The 19942-nt window shown below is 36.6% G+C and overlaps 1 protein-coding gene and 1 long non-coding RNA gene across 12 annotated transcripts in view; one reads left to right on the forward strand and one right to left on the reverse strand.

Annotated features, from left to right (window-relative positions):
* The window catches only part of HDAC2-AS2 (HDAC2 and HS3ST5 antisense RNA 2), a 371029-nt gene that overhangs the window by 183281 nt on the left and 167806 nt on the right, over positions 1–19942 (forward strand). The window lies entirely within an intron of this gene.
* The window catches only part of HS3ST5 (heparan sulfate-glucosamine 3-sulfotransferase 5), a 287428-nt gene that overhangs the window by 97386 nt on the left and 170100 nt on the right, over positions 1–19942 (reverse strand). For 6 of the 11 annotated variants that reach the window (NM_153612.4, NM_001387044.1, NM_001387045.1 and 3 more), the window contains exon 3: positions 15370–15481. The exons of 3 other annotated variants lie outside the window; for them this stretch is intronic. The gene's annotated coding sequence lies outside the window, so the exon portion shown is untranslated. The remainder of the gene's footprint in view (positions 1–15369; positions 15482–19942) is intronic. 2 more of the 11 variants (NM_001387041.1, NM_001387043.1) reach the window with 1 other exon arrangement.

Here is a 19942-nt window from a genome sequence, read left to right on the forward strand (position 1 = left end):
TTTCTCTCAGCCCTCACACCCCTCTTGACTCTACAAGGAGTTGAAGTCTTGCCACTGATCCCCACCCAATGGTTGAGACTTTACCTATCAGCTTGAATATTCCCAGTTGCAGTATTTAACTTGTTCACTGAAACACCCTTTTACTGCCTGATGCCCACGGTACTGTTAATGGGGGCAGAGCTGCCGTTTGGATCCTGGGCTCTGTCTCCTGGTTTAGACTTCCTCACAGTACCAACAGCTGGGATATCTCCTTTTGTATGTTCCATGCTGGTGCGGGAGTGCCAGGTCCTAAACCCAGGTCAGCCCTGCTCCAGGATAGCTAATTGAATAATGTCCAGTAATCCCCATTAAATAACAATAGGTATAGGTGGAAATATTTACATGTTCTATTGGGATTTCGTTATATTTCCTAATTTTATAAGTGGCCTGTTTCTATATTTGCACTGATCCACTCCTTTTTCCCACCTACCTGCTGAAAAATCATATCCTCTCTCCATGGCAATATTTGCTTCATGCTCATCTTCGTATTCATTTTCTCAATGGGGCAGACTCCCGTTGCACCATATTGGTGGAGAGATGAAATTTCTGTCCTGGATTATCATATTCTGTCTTATCTCATTCATTTGCTCTTCTGTGCTCAGTGAGGTATGATAGAAGTGGCAGTGTGGTGAAACTAGGAGGCCAGTAAAAAACGTAAGTAATTTTCACCTTGGTTTTTTCTGTTTCAAGTTCCTGGGGCCCTCTTTTCTCCTCTCTTTTCCTCTGATGAGATCAAGGACTCAGTGGTGTCAGCTATAGTCACCTTATTAATAACTACTATCTTAGTACTCACAACAATCCTGCAGGCTGGGCATGGTGAGGCCCATTTTGCAGATGAGGAAACTAAGATGCAGAAAGGTCAAGATTATTTTGCTTTTAGCTCTTCGCTGTTCACGTCCCTTCAACTGCACAGTGGTGAGCAGGGAAGGGTTATCAAGGGGGCTCAGGGGGACTGAATGTGCACAGGAGCAGGAGAGGGTTTCGTGGGGAGCAGAGAGGATCACAGGAAGTTTTAGTTCCTGGGTCTCAGACAAGTGGGCAGAAGCAAAGGCAAATCCAGATGCTGAAGGTTTGGCTCTTGGGACTGCAGTCTATTAACGAAGGAGAGGTAAGAAGGGAAAGGAGATGTCTGAGTATTCAAGGTTATGTCTGGAATGGTTCATTTCTTGGCCAGCTCTGACTTTTTGCAGTGTGACTAGAGAAGTCTGTGATCAATTATTGCTGCCTGCCTCAGTGGGAAGGCGAGGTGAGTGAAAGCATGCTTATTTTCTGATCCTGCTCAATATTCCAGCTGGCACTATTTAGAGCTGAAAAGGGAACCCAAAAGAGAAGCAAGGTGGTAAAATTTGGATTGAGACTGAGTGTGGTGGCTCACACCTGTAATCCCAGCACTTTGGAAGGCTGAGGCAGGCAAGTTGCTTTAGCCCAGGGGTTTGAAACCAACCTGGGCAACATAGCAAGACTCCATGTCTGTTGTTTTTGAAATCAGTTTAAAAAAAAGACTTAGATTAGATGTATCAAAACAATATTCATTGTAACTGTGACATATTTGAATAAATCCTTGAGGGGCTTGTACCAGCCTGTACAAGTCAGACTACTGCACCCCATCACATCTTATTTAGTCTCTTGCCATTCTCCCTTCCCCTCACCCACTTCATCTGCTTACTTTGCTTGGGGGAAGGCAGGAGGAGGGGCACATAAACATGTAGCAAGTTCCTGCCTCTGGCATTTTCTGGTCATGTTGCTCCTTCCTGGGATGTGCTTCACGCAGATGTGGGCAGGGTTTGCTTCCTGTGGCCTTTGTCAAATGTCATCTCACTGATAAGTCTTCCCTGACTGCCATACATAAGAAGGCAGCCTCTCTCCTCCCATCATCTGGGCATCTTCTATCCATTTGACTTTGCCTTATCTTTCCCGATTGCTCTGGTTACATATGCATTTACTGCCTGTCTCCCCTCCACCACCCCACCCCCAGCTGGAATGTCCGCTCTGGGAGGGCAGGCCATGCATTCTGTGCACTGCCATTGACCCAGCACGGAGAGGCACCCTTAGAGTAGGAGGTGCTTGAGACGTATTTGTTGAACAAATTTATGCTAATTATCTTGTAGAACAATATCTCTCAGGCTTAATGCTAATGTGTTTAACTCTACTTCTTACATATTGTATTTTATTATGATACAAATTTTGTTAATGACAATATTATCTTGTGACTTAATAAAGTGTCCTCTTATTCATCCCCATGCCAGTTTTAAGTGGCCTGTAGAGATATAAATAATAGGACACGAATAAATATAAAGAAGAAAGAAGAAAAAGAATAGAGAGTAAAGTGAAGTCCGTGGTAGAATTAGAAAACAAAATATTAGTCTTCTGTTAATCAAGCCAATGGATTCTATTCAAAACTTGGAAAAAAGAGAAAAAAAGAAAAAAAGACAAGCATGCTACTCTAGTTCCACCAGGCTGCTGTGAAAAAAATCTGGTTTTGAATCCAGGTCTTGTTACTTACCAGATGCCTACTTAGGCAAATGACTTAATTTCTCAGATTCTGACTTTACCTTTCTATAAAACAGATATAATTAGAGTGTCGACCTCATCTACCCTTTAAGCAACAAAACCACTCTGTGAAGATGCAGAGTTCAAGAAGGAACCCATTATATCATACACCTAAGTGACATAATGTATATTTTTTAATGGAAAATTACCCAAACACTATCCCTTCGAATCTCTTCTAAACACAAACGTCACGTACTGACCTGGCTTGGGCTTGGTGTGAAATGTGGTAATAAACACACCCTGTATTTATAGATTGAAATGGAAGCAGTGCTTTCACATAGAGTTCCTACAACCCCCTAAACTAATTTGCTAGGCTTCTACCTTAGTGCACCAACAGGAACTGCCTGTAGAAATGAATAAGCTAGTCTGGGTGGACCATACTGTAAGTAACAGCCACCAGGAAAAAAACAAATCCTGAGGAAAATTAATTTTCAACAGTGAAACAGGGCAGAGAAACCAGAACCGGTGTTTCTCCTGCTTGTGATTTATAGCATGTCTTCTCTTAACTCACAATAATGAATCACCGACTTTTCTTCCAAGGAGTCTATTCTCTGAGTTTGACTCTGTACACGCAAGGACAGGACCTTTCCTTCCATGTGGAATCCCTCTACACTAAGCTTCCACATCCTATTCTTTCCCAAATTAACAAAAAATCTCCAAAAGGAATTTCTCCAAAGAGGATTTTCTCCCTCATCCCATTCCTGGTTCTTCAGACTCCTCAGCTGAGGTTCACCATGAGGCAAATTTCTAACAATTGGATTAGGGCATAAAATTCATATTCTTCTAAAGAACGTTTGCATGATTCAAAGGTAAATGTCAAAACAGTGATGGAAAACCTGTTGTGATCAAAACTGGTATGTATTTTGTAGTTGTGCTTAAGTTTAAAAATATGTATTTAACAGACAACGGATAGTGTAACTCTCTTAAATATACAGTTATGTAGTGTGCTATTGAAGAATCACATTTACCTGGAATTTCATCAACTTTTAGTTGTGGTTCCACTTATTATTTGTACCCTGGTTTGCTCAAAGCCAGCCTCTTCTAAGCAGAGTTGCCACAGATCTCCTTTTTGACAAATCTGGTGTTAACACTTCTCGATATCCAGTTTATTTCACATCTTGGCAGCCTCTGGCACTATTGACCTTTCATTCCCTTCTTCTAGAAACATTTCATCTCAGTGGTCATCATGATAACCCCCTCTTCACATTTCCCTACCATCTCTGTAGCTATTCCTTCTCGGTGTTCTTTGAGGTTTCTCTTCTTCCACTTATTATCTTAAATATGGCTTTTCCTCAGGGCTCTGTTCTAGGCCTTTCTCCTCTCACTCCAAGCTCTGCTTAAGCAACCTGTCCTGTGTCCAAGGATGCTGTAATTACCATGTTATTTACATCTTCATAAAAGGTTTCTCACCTGAACTCAACGCTATTTATTCAACACTTACATGTCTTCTGCAGTTAGATAATAACAGGCACTTCAACCTTAACATGCCCAGTGAAATGCACTGTCTTCCACCCCTCACCTTCTCTTCCTTCTGCATCTTTTCCTTCCATGACTATCCACCCCATTGTCCAGGATGGAATTACAGGTACCATCCTAGATTTCCGAGTGTGATACTTTCTACTTTCTACCCATCCTCTTCTCCCTGTTCCCACTGCTGAGACCTGAATTCAGACCAGTGTAACCTTCTACTCTGTTTACTGCCCCAGCCTCTTAACTGGTCTTCCTGCCTCCTGTCTCATTCCCATCCAATTCATTCTTTACTTTGTTCCTAATATACAAATCTGATCAAGACATTCACATTTAAATCCATTTAATGGCTTATTCTGAGAGTATAATCATTGTTGCCAGGGGCTGGGAGTTGCAGGGGGATGGAAAGATGTTGGTCAAATGGTACAAAGTTTCAGTTAGATAGGAGAAATAAGTTTGGGAGATTTATTACACAGTGTGGTGACTATGGTTAATAATAGTGTACTGTACACTCAAAAATTGCTAAGAAAGTAGACCTTAAATGTTCTTATAACAATAAATGATAAGTATGTGAGGTGATAAGTTAATTAGCTTGATTTAATCATTTCACAATGTATACATATATCAAAATATTACACAGACCACAAATATATAAAATTTTTATTTGCCAATCATACTTTAATTTATAAATTAAAAAGTAATGAAACCATCAGTGGCTTCTAATTACCCTCAGGATAAAGTCCAAAGTCCAAGAGTCCAGTCTATACAACCTTAATGCTTGCTTTTTTAGCATTACCCCTTCCTTTCTGACACTTTTCCTTCTCCCCTCACCTCCCATACTTAGGCTTCTAAGCTTCAGGCTTTCTTGAAATCTTTCTGTTCTCTAATGCTGCCTCCTCTGCCTATTGCATTCTTGTTCCTGTACAACCCCACTCCTCCCTAACCTGATTAACTCCTTTGCATCCATCAGCTGTCAATGGAGCTGTCACTTCTTTCAGGAAACCTTCCTGAAGTGAAGCAGCGCCTCCACTGTGCAAACTCATTGTGTCTGGATCCTCCCTTCATGCCTGGTCCCATGGCACTGTAACTGTCTGTGGACTTGCAAGCCTCGACAGCTTTGTATGCCTGTGGACAGTGTCTGAACTATTTCTGGTGGAATCCCTGTGTCTTACATAGTGCATAGCATGTAGAAGGTACTCAATAAATATTTGTGGAAATATTAATAAAAGAAAGAATAAAATCTAATTGTCAGATTCTAGTTGATTATATAACATGTCTGTCTATGCATAAATTATGAGCAGCAGAATCTTTAGTATCTTAGGCAGAGGTTGGAAGAATACTCATCTTAAAATTGAAAAAACATCTATAACACCACCCAATAGTTACTGAGTATTTATCACGGGTAGACTTTATTTATTATTATTAACATGTGTGAAGTGCTTCATGTGTGTTATGTCATTTTGTTCTCACAGTGATCTGGGAGGCAGGGACTATTATTTTTTCCACATAGCAGACAAAGAAAATGAGGCTGAGGGAGATGAAGCATTTGGCAAAAGTCAGTTGGCAGAGCTAGGATTCTATGCAATCCCCAAAGCTCATAAAAAACCATTTGACAAAATGGATAAATATGTTCAACCAAAATGTATTGAGGACTTGTTCTTTGCAAAATACCATGCATACACACAATTCCTGCTCTGCTCCAGTGAGAATAACCAGGAACCCTGAAGAGAAGGCATTGCATTAAGCTAGTTATTACCATCAGCCTGGCAAAAAATGTTCTGTATTACAGGGAAGCATATAATTGGGCAAACCAAAAATCTTTTCAGCTTTTCTGCATTCAATGCTGTAATTTCATTTATTTATCATAAAATGTGACTTCACAGGTTTATTAACAGTCAAATCCAGATGCAAATGCAAATAGAGAAATATAGTAGAAAACCAAATAGCAGATTCTCATTATCTGCCTTTTGTTGAAATCTATGCCAATGCTCTCCATTGTAAAGAAGGGCTGAATTACAGAATTTTAGGCCTGAGAGAAACCTAGAAATTATTTACCCAATTCTTCCCAGTTATGTCTAATCCTGAAGTCCAAAGAACATAACTAGTAACTGTGAGACTACCAGTAACTCATGAAAACTTGTTGGCCATATCTATGAAAGCTGAACTTCTATTTATTCTGTGGCCCAGCCATTCCACTCCTTGGAATAGACCCAACAGAGGTGCTTTCATATTTTGCCAAAGGCCATGTATAATAATGCTCATAGTAGCATTTTTTTCAATAACCCCAAACTAGAATCAAAGCAGTGATCATCAATAGTAGGCTGGGTAAGTAAAATATATTTAAACAATGGAATGTACTGTGCGACAATGAGAACAAAGTATAACTACAAACAGCCAAGAAAATAAATGTCAAAAACATTATGCCAAGTTATGACTATGTTTATACTGTGTTCATAAAAACAGGAAAATCTAATCTACAGTGTCATGAGTCAGGAGAATGGTTATTAAGGGCTGGGAGGTGACAACTGGAAGGGGACACAGAAGTGTTTGTTGGATGCTGGTGATTTCTGTTTCTTGATCCAAGTGCTAGTTACACAGGCGGGCTCACCTTGTGAAAATCCAGTGAGCTATACACTTACAATGTATACATTTTTCTGTGTGTATGTTAGATTTCAATATAAATTTGAAAAGAAACCTTGGAACTCATTTAAGCCTAAGACATTATCAAAAAATTTTCTGGCACAATGGGAAAAATTTGTGAAATGCCTTGAATCTTAATTCTGCTAAAACTAACATTTGTTCCAGTCATAGATCAATAAAAACAAATACTTCAGTATTGCAAACATTTGCTAAAGAAACAAATATGTTTGATGAGAAAACAAAAATCAGTATTTCCTTTGGCAAGTACTTGCTGTATTGGAGGTAGCAAATGTAAAACTTGTAAAGTGTGACTGCATTTGTTTACATGCTCAATTTACACAAGATTCAGAATTTTGTAAAGCTGCATTGCATTTTTAAAAACTGTAGGAATAAAAATAATTGTGACAGGAATAAAAAGATTGCATTTCTAGAATGTTGTTATGGATGTGTCTCAACTCCACATAGTTGTATGATGCCTGGCAGCAATAGGCGTGCATTTGCTGTATGAATGAAGATAGTATACAGGGTACTCTTTAGAATACTTCTTATCAATCTTTGTTGACACCATGATTATTTTTAATACCTGGTTAAATAGGAAATTACTAATACTTTCTCAGTATCCTAGTAGACATTGAATGGAGAACGACTAAAAAAAAATCTCTATCAAAGTGCTAATTCATATTATTTTACAAAATACTTCCAAATGACATATGAAGCCAGTCATTTAAGATAAGGAAGTTTCATTAAAGAAAAACTTGAGATCTCAGAAAAATGAATTAGAAATTCCCCCTCCCCCAACTACATTTAGAGAAAATATTGAGACAGAAGTATGATTCTCCCTGGAAGTAACTATATATTAAATCAGTGTCAAGAAAACCTTAGAAAGTATTAGCTTTCAGGGAAAAACACTTACAATTTATATTTTCTATTTTTCAGTAATATATCCTTACTATGACTCTAAAATCTGTCTAATGCACCATTAACATTTTAAAAGAAAGTTCTCTAGTTCTTACCAAAAAGAAATAAATAATATCTGACAACAGCATTAGGGAACATAAACATAAAATTACCTGTTATTAAAAACTGAACACATTTTTCTCAAAGAAATATGTTACTCAGCTATAAAATAGTATGTTTGCCATTCACACTAATGTTTCAACATTATGGTTCAATCTTCTAAAAAGCTGACATGGAAAATAATGGTGTAATAAACTAATTCATCATAATGTGCAAAAGAAACCACTGGAATAAATTGTAATAACCTTTCAAAAACTAGCAGCTTTTAAAAGTATTAATTTCTACTCCAGATAATTGGAAAGGACACCTGGGTGGGTAGGCAATATTTTTTATGGGATTGCTCTGTCAGGAGCTCAGATTGTCTCTGGACTCAGCAATGATCATTTAGAACTAAATGACAGTGAATCTTGCAAATGGGTCTTCCTAGATGGTGTTTGCCATAAATTACCAAACCCAACTCCCCTCAAGGTCAGCGATATGAGAGGGCAGATATCAAACGGCCTTCGTGGAGACCTAGATTGGTCCTCGGGTTTCTCATAAATGGACAATAGTTGTGTTGGCTGCCATAAAATCAACTTAATGGACTGACAACATAAATTACCATCAAACTTTGACAACATTCCTCCTTAGGAAACAACTGAAGAATGCTTTTATATCAAAGCTGGGGAAAATGGATAACAATATGTTTTGCTCTATACTAGATCATAAATATTTTTAACAATGCTAAGTGGAGAATGAATTAATATTAGAAGCCATGATATGTTTTACCTGATGCATTAAAAACAGCATCTAAGTAATTCTAAAACGACAGTTGCTTCCTGAAGTTTTATATATATATATATATATATATATATATATATATATATATATATATATATATAAAATGCAATGGCGTGTATGTGTGTATGTGTTAGGGAAGAAGGTTGCATTTGCCTGGCACTCAATATTTTCACTAAGTATAAGCAATCAAAAATGATATTACTTGTTTTCTAATCTTTTTTATCTATTAATATACAGTCCACTGGACCCATAGGAAGAGATTCTTGACCTCTCACCCTACTTTGGATAAATCATAAAATCACTTTCTCTATGGCTGCATTTTTCCACTTGGAAAGTAACGTAATTATTATACAAATATATTTTGAAGACAATGGAATTATTCCTAAAATGAAGACACAAAAACCCCCAAGTTACTGGAAAATCATATTAACATATTTGTGAAAATAATCAAATCTAGACTTAATCAATTCACATTTTAAAAAGCCAATTTGGTAGAAAATTAATTTAGAAATCTAAATTAATAAAATAGAATTTTGGAGGTAAATGAAACATCATTTTTTAGTTGAATTTTCATCTAATTGTGCTGCCATTCTGTATCTGCAGTTATTATTATTGTGACATAAAGATAAAATTATTCTCTCAGTAATTTTTATAATAGAATTTATTATCTCTTAAAATGCAGCAGTGTCCTTTAGATTTTGCTAAAAGAAGTGCTACGTCGAGTAAAAGCAACATCTTCCTTGGATCCAGTGGCATCTCAGGCCAGGAATATTATATATAATGTCTCGTGAACTCCATACATTTTATAAACTATAAAAGTTTCCAAATAGGATTTAAAATTAGTGTATTTTGTCTGTTCTCCTCCCACATCTAGTCATCACCTTCTGTCACGTCTTCCTTTGAACTATCTCTTACATTAATTTCTTTCCTTCTGTTCCTGTTATCACTTCTGCCCAGAACCTCATCACCTTATACCTGAATTATTGCAGTAGTTTCTTTGCTCCTGTTCTTTTTCCACCAATCCATCCTGCCTAGTCCTGCCAGATTAATCTTTTTTAAAGGACTACTTTAATGATGTCACTCCCCTGCTCAAAAGTGTACAATGACTCCCTATCACTTGGAGGCCACAGGCCAGAGTCTTTAGCTAAAATCAAAGCCTTTGGCTGTCTGGCCTCACCTCCTTTTCCAGTCTTTTCCAGTTCCCTTGCACAAACCTTCAGAACAATAAATGAATCTGCTTCCTGGCCACTTGCACCACATGCACCTGCCTGACCAGTGCTGTCCATCCTCTCTGCTGACCCAGTTACCTTCCTTTCTGGAGTCCTTCTGACCACTTCAACCCATAGTCAGCACCTCCAGCCATGAAGTTGGAGCACTCTTTTTTTTAAGCATGATTTATTTCACAGTTGCAATATTACGTAACTTTGGCTTTTGTTACTTAATGGTTACCCTGCCTTTTCTCCTTAATTAATTTGTAAAGTTCTTTGAGGGCGGGGGGTTTTGAATTATTATCTGCCAATGTCCCCAGCACAACGCTATAAAAATAGTTGGCCATCAATGGACACTTGTTTAATGAATGAATGCAAAATGCTGTTCTAGGCTTCTTATATGATTAGGATGAAAGCTATTCAGTTGTATTTGTGACTTGTGGTATTTCAGAGCAGCAATTTACATATGTGAGGCAGTTTTCCTGAGTTTAATAAATTCTCTTTCGTTTTTAAAGTTCTTAGTGAAATTGTAGACTATGAAATACAAATTGAGCACATGAGATTTATAATGTAAAAATCTGACTCAGAAATCATGGGCAGCATTAGAATAAACACAAACTAGTCCATATTCGTCGGGCTAATACTAACTATCTGAAAGTTCCTGAATATCATAAAGCTCGGTAAGTTTTAAATAAAACTGAAATCGTCCCAAGAATAAGTTAAAAGAAAAAAAGGTAAGTACGCAGTAGTCCAGAGTCTTTATTGTATAAATAAGACATATGTTTTAGCATATAATATTATTTAGTGGAAAGAATATGGATTTTTAGAACTTGACAAGACCTGAATTGGTAACTTAGATCTGCTCTTCTCTAGGTGTGCCATTTTGTGTCAGTTACTCAATGTCTTTGAACGTTAAACCTCTCATAAGGCAAATGAGAATATTAATTTCTAATTTATTTGAAAAATCTGAGATGAATGAACTCTTTTGAGCTGTTTACTAGGATAATGAACTTAAGGTCTCTAAGGCAGCTAACCCAGTACCTGGCCTGTTAATAAATGGTAGCTACTATTACTTAACTAATTAATTAATGTATCTGTCGATCATTGTTTCTATTTGAGAGTTTTTCTTTTTCACTCCTAGCCTCTCTTATAGTTAAAGAGCATGGGCAGAGGGGTCTAAAAGATCTGGGTTTGAATTGTGGTTCTACCATTTATTAGTTTACTAATCTACTTATGAACCTATCTTAGCTGCAGTTTTCTCAGCTGTATAAGAAGACAACAAAATCTCCTTGAACTAATGTTCTGAAGACTAAGAATGATCCATTTTAAAGTGTCTGGCATACAGCTGGTACTTTATTAAGAGCAGATATTATTATAATTCTCATGAGTCTTCTCACAGACATCCTGTTATATGTCAAAGAACACATGCTGATGAATACTTTTAAAGTAAAATATGTAGGATTTTTTTTGCTATTTCACTATCTTGCATAAAAACATAATTTGGTATTATAAAAATTATTCCTATAAATAATATTTGTATAGTTTAGAAAATACCTTTACAAAATACCTTACAGTTTACAAAATACCTTTGAAACTGAGGACTATACCCCCAAATTAGCCATTTGTTGCTGTGTGACTGTGATCATTATTCTTGCAACCCATTCTGCCATCAAAATGCTTAATAATTAACAATAATGATAAACTGCAAATACTAAGGAGGCTATGAACAAAGTCCAATGTGTTATTGTCACAGGCCTATATTTTTAGAAATACTTGACAGTTGAAATTGGCCAGATGAAATTCAGCAATTGATCATAGATTCTCCATCTCAGCAGTATATCTTGGAAGCAGAGGCCTCCTCTAGGCAGGCTTTGACAAAGGACATCTAAAACTGGTTTCTTAACTTCTTTTTGACTTCTAAAATACCGTCTAAAGTATTGGTTAAGTTGCCTGTTCTCATTTGGGTTAAAATACAATTCTTAAAACATCTGGAGTAAGTAATTCTGAAATAAACGTATATAAGTCTAAACAAAAGAATAGAAAGAAATTTGGGTAATTTTCTTAAATTTAAATAAATATACTATGTCACATGCTGAGATTAATGACATTATCTAAACTCGGTAGGAATGCAATTAAGTGCTAAGAAACAGAAAGCACCTCACAGTTTTATAAGACTGAGCCATTTTTACTATCATAATAACTGAAGCATGTGCTTAATAACTCATCAAATACATTTACTTCCCTTCAACATCTACAAGGTCAAAACCAGTCATCAGCCATAACTTAAAGTACCATTAATTCCTCTGAAAAACTGTTAAAGAGATTGTTCCAAGAAGCACTGGGCTGTATCCCATTGAGGTTCCTGGGGTGTTTCAGGGATGCTGGGATGTACTTTTAAAATGATGTATGGATGGATAGTATTATTCTTAATGCTCCAGATGAAGAGCTTGCCATACAACTGTTCCTTATACAAGGTACAGGGCTCCATATGCAACAGTTCTGATATTTAATGTTTTGTCCTATGTCCAATCCTTGGTTTAGTGATTATGGCCATTATACCTACATTTTAAAACATGATCTAACATGTAAGGGTAACTGCCACTTAGTAACTGAGAACTGCACAGCATCGGGTCAGCATCAGCGCTAGGTCACTAGGGGCAATCTTGTCTAGATTTGCTCCCAGAATCCCTGCATGAGCATGGGCTTTCTACATCTTTGGTCTTTGTTTCATTTTATTACTTCCACTTCTTCCCCATCGCCTGCCAGGGTTTTCAAATCCTTTGGGGATGTTTGGTTTCAATGTTTATATTTACCAAACTCACAACTATAATTAATATTTATAGCACCTCTAATCATTTCAAAGCTATTTCACAAATAAAATATCTTGATCTTCATAGTAATGTCATGTGAGATGAGAAAATTGAAGCATGAAGAAATTCTATAATATGCCTGAGGCAACTTGACGTCAGTGTCAGAGTACCTACCTCAGGACACTGAACCTCGCGCTCACTTCACCCCCATGACTGCTACATCATTGGTTTGGTCTTTGGATTAGACTTGCGCCGGAAATTCTTTCTCACCAGCTCTGTGATTTTTAAACATATTAGTTAAACTCTCTGGATTTTAGCTTCCTTGTTGGTAAATGGGGACAACAATGCCTACTTCATAGAGTTATTTGAGGATTACATGAAATGATGTATGTAAAGTTAAAAACCTAAGCCAGGCACGCTGGCTCCTGCCTATAATCCAGCTACTTGGGAGGCTGACGCGGGAGGATCCCTTGAGGACAGGAGTTCAAGACCATCCTGGGTAACACAGCAAGACCCCATCTCTAAAAAACTTTAAAAAATAAATAAATAAAAATAATAAAGTAAAAATACCTAGAATAAGGTTAAGTGTTCAAAACTGCTCATCCTTCTAATCCCTACTCTTGGTCATCTTTCATCCTTCTAATCCCTACTCTTGGTCATCTTCACCTAAAGGTAGTTTCCTTAGGTCTACTGAGAGTCTATGAAGCTACTCTGGACTTCGGTGTTGGGCTGGGAGGCACAGTAAACTTAATGTATCATCAGTAGGGTGGTAAAATATTTACCAATAATCTAAGGATTTATCAGTCATCTGCCACATCCCAGCACAGTGCTCAGTACTTCACATGCACAAAGAAATAGCAGCAGCCAAGGAACTTTGCAAGTGACAAGAACAAGACTTAATGATTTTCTAGACAATAAAGAGATTCCAAGAGTGGCTGGCATGCTCCATTTAGCCAAGGTCTTTGTAAATTCTCCAAAACAATTTCAAATAGAATAAAATAATTTTAAAACTACTTCATATAAATTGTATAGCTTACTTTTAAATGGCATATTCCACCAAATCCTAAAATGTTATTTTTTTATAGATAATGATACTGTATCCAACCTGCACTATTACACAGGGTGAGGGAGGGACCGTAAAAGGACCAATCTCACAGTGAACCTAGGAATGAGAGGTTAAATTGTGTTCGATGTTTCTGCTGTGTTTCCATTACTGAGTCACCTAGATTTAAAATACCCTAGGGTAGGAATAACCATTTTGTTTTTCTCCCTCCTTTTCCTTCAGTGCCCCAGAACATAAAATACTTGTTGAGTTGCATTTTAGCCTCTGAGTCAGACTGAAAAAAAGTAGTTTGACTCCATCCAATTTGAATTAGCTCACTAAAAAAAGGTATTTACAGTTAAGTGGAAACATTTCATCTTCTGATTATTTTTTAATATAAAACAGTGAAATCTCAGCATACTTTAGTTTAAAACTATAAGAACAGAAAAGAATAATTTGTTTTCTTCTTGAGACAGGGTCTCACTTTGTCACCCACACTGAAGTGCAGTGGTGCGATCATAGCTCATTGCGGCCTTAAATTCCTGGGCTCAAGCCATTCTCCTGCCTCAGTCTCCTGAGCAGCTGGGACTACAGGCACATGCCACTGTGTGTGGCTGGAGAGGAATAAATGTTATTGTTATCAATAGCAACTGGTCACTGCGCACATGTGTGTGAGACAATATTCAGAATGATACAGCCTAGGGTTTAAGACCAGAAACTTTAGTTCTGATTCTGCTTCCTTTAGTATTTTTATCCAGGGACACAGTGTTCCTGTTTTGAGGATGGGAACAATGCATATGTTTTATAGCATTATGGAGAAAATTAAGATGGGATATTACTGTAGACACAGTAGTAAGTAGGCAATAATTTTGAGTGTTTAATGTGTGTCAGATACTGTTCTAATCAACTCATTTAATCACAACAACTCAATGAGATGCATAGTATTATTATCCCTATTTTAAAGATATTAAGGCATAACAGTTTTAACAAAAAACCTTGCCAAGATCACCCAGCTAGTAATTGGCTGAGCAGGATCTCAAACGCAGGCAGTCTAGCTCCAGAGTCCCTGCTCTGAGCCACTTCCCTGTGCTACCTGACTCCATCACAGCAGCTGGTGACATGCTGGTTTCCCCTCTTCTTGGGTTCTGGTATACAAAAACACAACAGATCCTGTCTTTTCCAGAAAGAAACAGTTGTTATAGCAAGGACACAGGATATATGCACATATGGATAAAAAGCACGATAGAACTTGTCAAACAAATGTCAGAGGAGGTATACAACAAGTTCTACAGAAGTCTGGAAGAAAGGAAATAATGGGGATGAGGAAATCGGCAAGATTGTTGTGATGTGGGTGACCTTTGAGTTTGTTTGGCGTTCGAGAGTAAACAGACCTAAAACTATCAAAGAGTAGTTGGGAAAGATATTTCAGATAATAGGAACAGCAAAGACAAAGGATCTCTGTGTTTAGGAAATAAGAATCAGTTTCATGATAACTTCAGCTTGACAAAAACAAACACACACACAAACAAAAAACAACACACGCAAAAGAAAATCAATAAAAAAAATTTTTAAAAAAGAATCCATTTCATTGACGGGGAAGGTTTCTATGTGGGCAATACTGAGGCAGGAAGCAGTTTAAAGTGATTTTGTACAGTGTTTTAGAAGCTCAAGAGAGGAGAAAGACCTCCTGCTGGAGGGCCACCAGGGGATTCCGAGTGGCTGTGAGTGATGAGATGGCAGGTATATAACACGGATGAAAGTAGGGAATGCCAGATAATGGACTGCGAGAGCACGTAGAAGTCTTCGGCACACATACCTACATTCAGACAGGTCCCTATTATTCCAGCGATGATTATCTTGTTGGCGGGTATTCCATGGCCTCTCCTCACCTACTGGCTGTCCTTTTGGTTTATCCCTTGCTTTAGCACCTGGGGGTGGACAAGGAGGCAAAGTGATTTTCCAATTAAGTCTTTTTGTTTGTTTGTTTTTGCTGCTTTTTCCCAGCTGTGGTTAGATTTGCTGTTGGAAGGAGAAGTATATTGTGGATGATAAGAACATTTCTTTCTCTCTTTCTTTTTTCACAGTACTTCCAGTCCTTTATTGAACAATTTGCAGGGGAAGAGCAGAAATCACATTTGAGCTTAACCCTGGAATATGTAATTGTTAATTTCCCTTGATCAGAGATGGGCTAGGAAATGGGGAGCTACCCACATAGACTTTTAAATAACATTTGTATAGCAGAACCTTGTTTCTGATCTGGCTGCTGAGAATTTTAGGTGAGAATGGTTAAAGTTATTCTCCTTTAAAATGTTATGTATTGTGTATCTCCAGACCTGTTGATAGCTATATGATTATTTATATCAATCATTCTTACCTTTGCTACTATTTGGATGTATTATGCAGTTGCTGCTTCTTCCTAAATTGAATGTAAGCTACCAGTAATTCTAATTCTCTAGCTGCAGAGTACATGTTTGGCTCTAAAACTAAAGTGTTGTATTAGTGGGATGAAAAAAAAGAAAGAGATGAGAAAAATGAAACAGACTGCAATGCCAAGCTCTTTTTTAAAAGTAATATTTAATTACTCTTTCAGGCTGCTGTTAAGAGTGTATATGACATCTAAACAGATTGTAGGACCCTAATACATCATTTCACTAATATATATTCAATTGCAGTTGACAAAAAGATTATTTTGGTCCATAATGGCCTAGAAACCCATCTTTTACTTGGATCTATTATATGCAAATATATTTAGGGTACAACACACACACACACACAGACAATCTCTTTCAAGTAAAGAAAAAGGTGTTAAAAATGTATACACTTGGCTAATAGCCAGCTACTGAGTCTACTGTGTCTCCTCTCTGATTAACATACTTTCATAAATTATTTCCAATTTCTTCCAGTTGAGTTCTTGTCAACTCTTCACCTCACAACCCCAATATTGCCCACATCGTTCTAGAGAAATCAGAGAGAGAGTAGAAAAAAACACATCCAGCTATTTTAGAACATGGCACATATCAGTCATGCCCAGAAAACTGGCTCCTTTGCTTGTGAGAACTTCTTGGCATATCCATAAGCCTGCTGACCTCAGTATGAAACATAACAAAATAAAGCCTCAACTACTCTGTTTCTCAATTTGTTTGATAAACTAGAATTATTTCCAAAGTTCTCAAATAAACAGAAATCATTATAATTATAAATAATTAAAATGCTAAACTCAAGAGGGCACTCAACATTCATTATACTGTAGAGCTTGTCCCCTAAGGGTAATACCTTCAATTAGTTCAGTTTTTACAACAGAAGAAAAATGTGACAATCAGTAATTGCAGGTATTTAGTTCAAGGAACAAAACATGCAAACTTGCCTTTAAATTGCCCTTTCAGTCACCAGAGGTTATGCTCTCTTTTAGATTCTTAACATTTGTACTAATTCTAGAATACAGGAAAGCAACAGATAAGGGAAAAACACACAATCTTCAAAGCTGTGAGTAGATACACTTCAGCTTTATCAGCTCTTTCAATGGAGAAGGTTAAAGTAGAAGGTAAGAGCTAACAAAAAATGATTTTAAGAGAGAGCCCTTTAAAAGACATTTTATAAAATTTATCAGTTATTTATTCACTTACTTTACAAACATTTATTAAGTGTCAGAGTTTATGCTAAATGATAATTACATTGCACTAGAAAAACTAGCTGATGATTTTTTTTAAAAAATACAAATTTATATATGTATGTACATATGTATATTGTTACAAATGTAAATATAGAGTATATATATCCATAATTTATAAAATGATTTTTTGAGTGTTATTCCTCAATCTTGAAGTTGTAATGTAATTTTTTAAAAATTTAATCACAAAATTATTTAGATTTTATTCCTTGGAGTCTCCTCTATAAAAAGGATCAATTTCCTTTACAAAATGTAACTATTTTCTGTTGCAGTAGTAAATGCTGTTTCAGTTACTAGGGCTTTTCTTAGGTGTCTGTAGAACTACAGTACTGTCAGTTGGAAATGGATTAGCAAATAGTAAATACTGTTTCGGATCAAAGCGAGTATACCAAAACAGATTTCTTTACTCTGATTCAACATCAAACTGACAACCATGACCTGAGAAAGAGTTATCTTTTACTAGCTGCCACGTTGGGGAAATAAATTTAGTCCTTCATTTAAGTAGAGGAAAGAACTCATTAGAAATGTGGTACAAGTGGTTTCAGGATGATAAATCTCAAGTTACCAATTCCACTTTTAATGATTAGCTGCCTGCACCTTGTATTTAATTAAAATGGTTATTTTAAATGCTTATATTTAATTTAAACATAATTAGCTAAAGTTCAATGTTACTGCCTCATCCATTTTGAAATTAATTAATTTATAAAATAGTTCAAAAAGTGCTGTAAAATTTTAATATTAAAATATAGCAGGATCGATTTGCATCTTTTGTTGGTTTCTATTGTGGACTCCTAGTGAGCTGTTTACATTAGGTAGGACTGCAGGGTCTCTGGCATAGCTAATGTGTAATGAAATCAAATATTGATATGTCCTTGACATTTCCTTTGCACATAGGATATATACTTTAACCTTCCAGGAAATAATAGTTCATAGCTAAGGATATGATTGTTTAAACTTTAAAGCGATGTAAGTTTAAGAAATTAATTTTGGCCTTAATACATTTAGGAGAAACCACTGCTTTTAGCAAATGATTTATAAGTGTGTAACAATCAGTGTGATAAAATTTCTTATGAGTCAGTCCAATAAATGTGGCCAGAAGGTGTTTTCAAGCAAAAGTTCTGCTTTTAACTTGTATTTAAACAAACAGTTTAAATAGTGGGTAGTGATGTACAACAATGTTTCCTGGTCTATAGATTCTGAGGATATTCTGAAACACTCCTGCATCCATTTGGATGGGGTTTCCTGGTGCAGTAAAAAACTATATCCATGAATGTCCTACAATCCTTAGTGTGCTTGGTGGGAAAAACTTCTAAGCTGTGCACATTTGTCTATTGATGATGATTGCTATAATTTATTAGGTACTGAATATGTGTTCGGCACTGAACTAAATGCTTAATAAAGTTGTATTCAGCCCATTTTACAGATGAATGAAGTGAGGCTTGGAAAGACTAAGGAATACGTAATTCATACTTATAATTCGTAAGTTACGGAGGCAAGACTCAAAGCCTAAATCCACAGTGCTGCCCCTTACTGTCTTCAGCTCCCATCTCAGAGGGCTAGGAAGGCATTCTCAACTGTGAGATGCTTGTAACCCCCACTTCCACCACCACCACAAACAACAACAAAATAGTTCTCCCTTGCAGTAATAGTGTAAATTAAAGAAAAGGTAAAGGTAACACATTTGGCTTGACTATTAGTAATTAAAACCTGTTGCCCCCAATCTTAGTGTCCTTTTATACAAATATTAATATATGCAGAATTCTCTAATATTTTATTAAAACCAGGGCTTTCTATTCTCCAACAAACCTCTATGGTTGGGGAGATTTGTTCCCATCATTCTCTAACATTAGCTCAAAACTTTGCACAATCTCTACCCCCAACACCACCAATAACCCTTGGGGCATTTTAATTGTGAGCAGGCTATAAAGCTGTAAAATCAGACTCAGCTTACACATCAAGTAAGTTGTGCAGAATATTTCTTTCCTTTTCACACTACCATTATTAGGTGGCATTCCAGGATGCCTTTAAGCTACACTGTATCTCAATTACCACAACTGCCATCTGTTTCTGTTTCTTCCAATGAACGATATCCCCGCTCAAGAGCTAGGCTTCAGTGTGTTTTCTGCAAAGAATATGAGTAACACATACAAATATTCCTCCTATTTAGATTAGACAGTATTAGGTAGTAATCAAAGCCAATTATCTATTGATTTTCAGTTTAACATTTCAACTATCAAACATTATCGTAACTCTGGACATCCTCAGAAGGTTCAAAGGATTGGAACCATTGCAAAGCAATTATAGCAGAGAAGACCCGTTTGAGGAGCTAGAATAGGTAAAAATACAGGCACATCTGCTTTGTAAATCTTGCTAAGGCCTTTAAATGCCATCTGGTTTCCCATTCTTTTCCAGCTACCATCTTCCCCTAGGCTAAAAGATTTTTAAATGACTGGGGGGAAAAGAAAACTTTGAGAAACTAGTTTGAGATTTTAATTCTGCATTTCATCTGTCAGACAGTGAAATGCAGTTAACTGCAGCAAGTGTTCCTAATAGATAAGGGAATTGTTGCTTCACATATAATTACATTGAGTCTAACAGTAGACATAGCCACCTATATCATCATCATACTATTAGAAGTGCTAGTAAGTCTGAAAAGAATCCATTTTGAGGAGGGTCAGAGCTACTTTTATTTTACTTCAAGCCAGGGTTATCATGAAATAAA

This window comes from Homo sapiens, chromosome 6, assembly GCF_000001405.40.
Source record: "Homo sapiens chromosome 6, GRCh38.p14 Primary Assembly".
Classification (NCBI taxonomy): domain Eukaryota; kingdom Metazoa; phylum Chordata; class Mammalia; order Primates; family Hominidae; genus Homo; species Homo sapiens.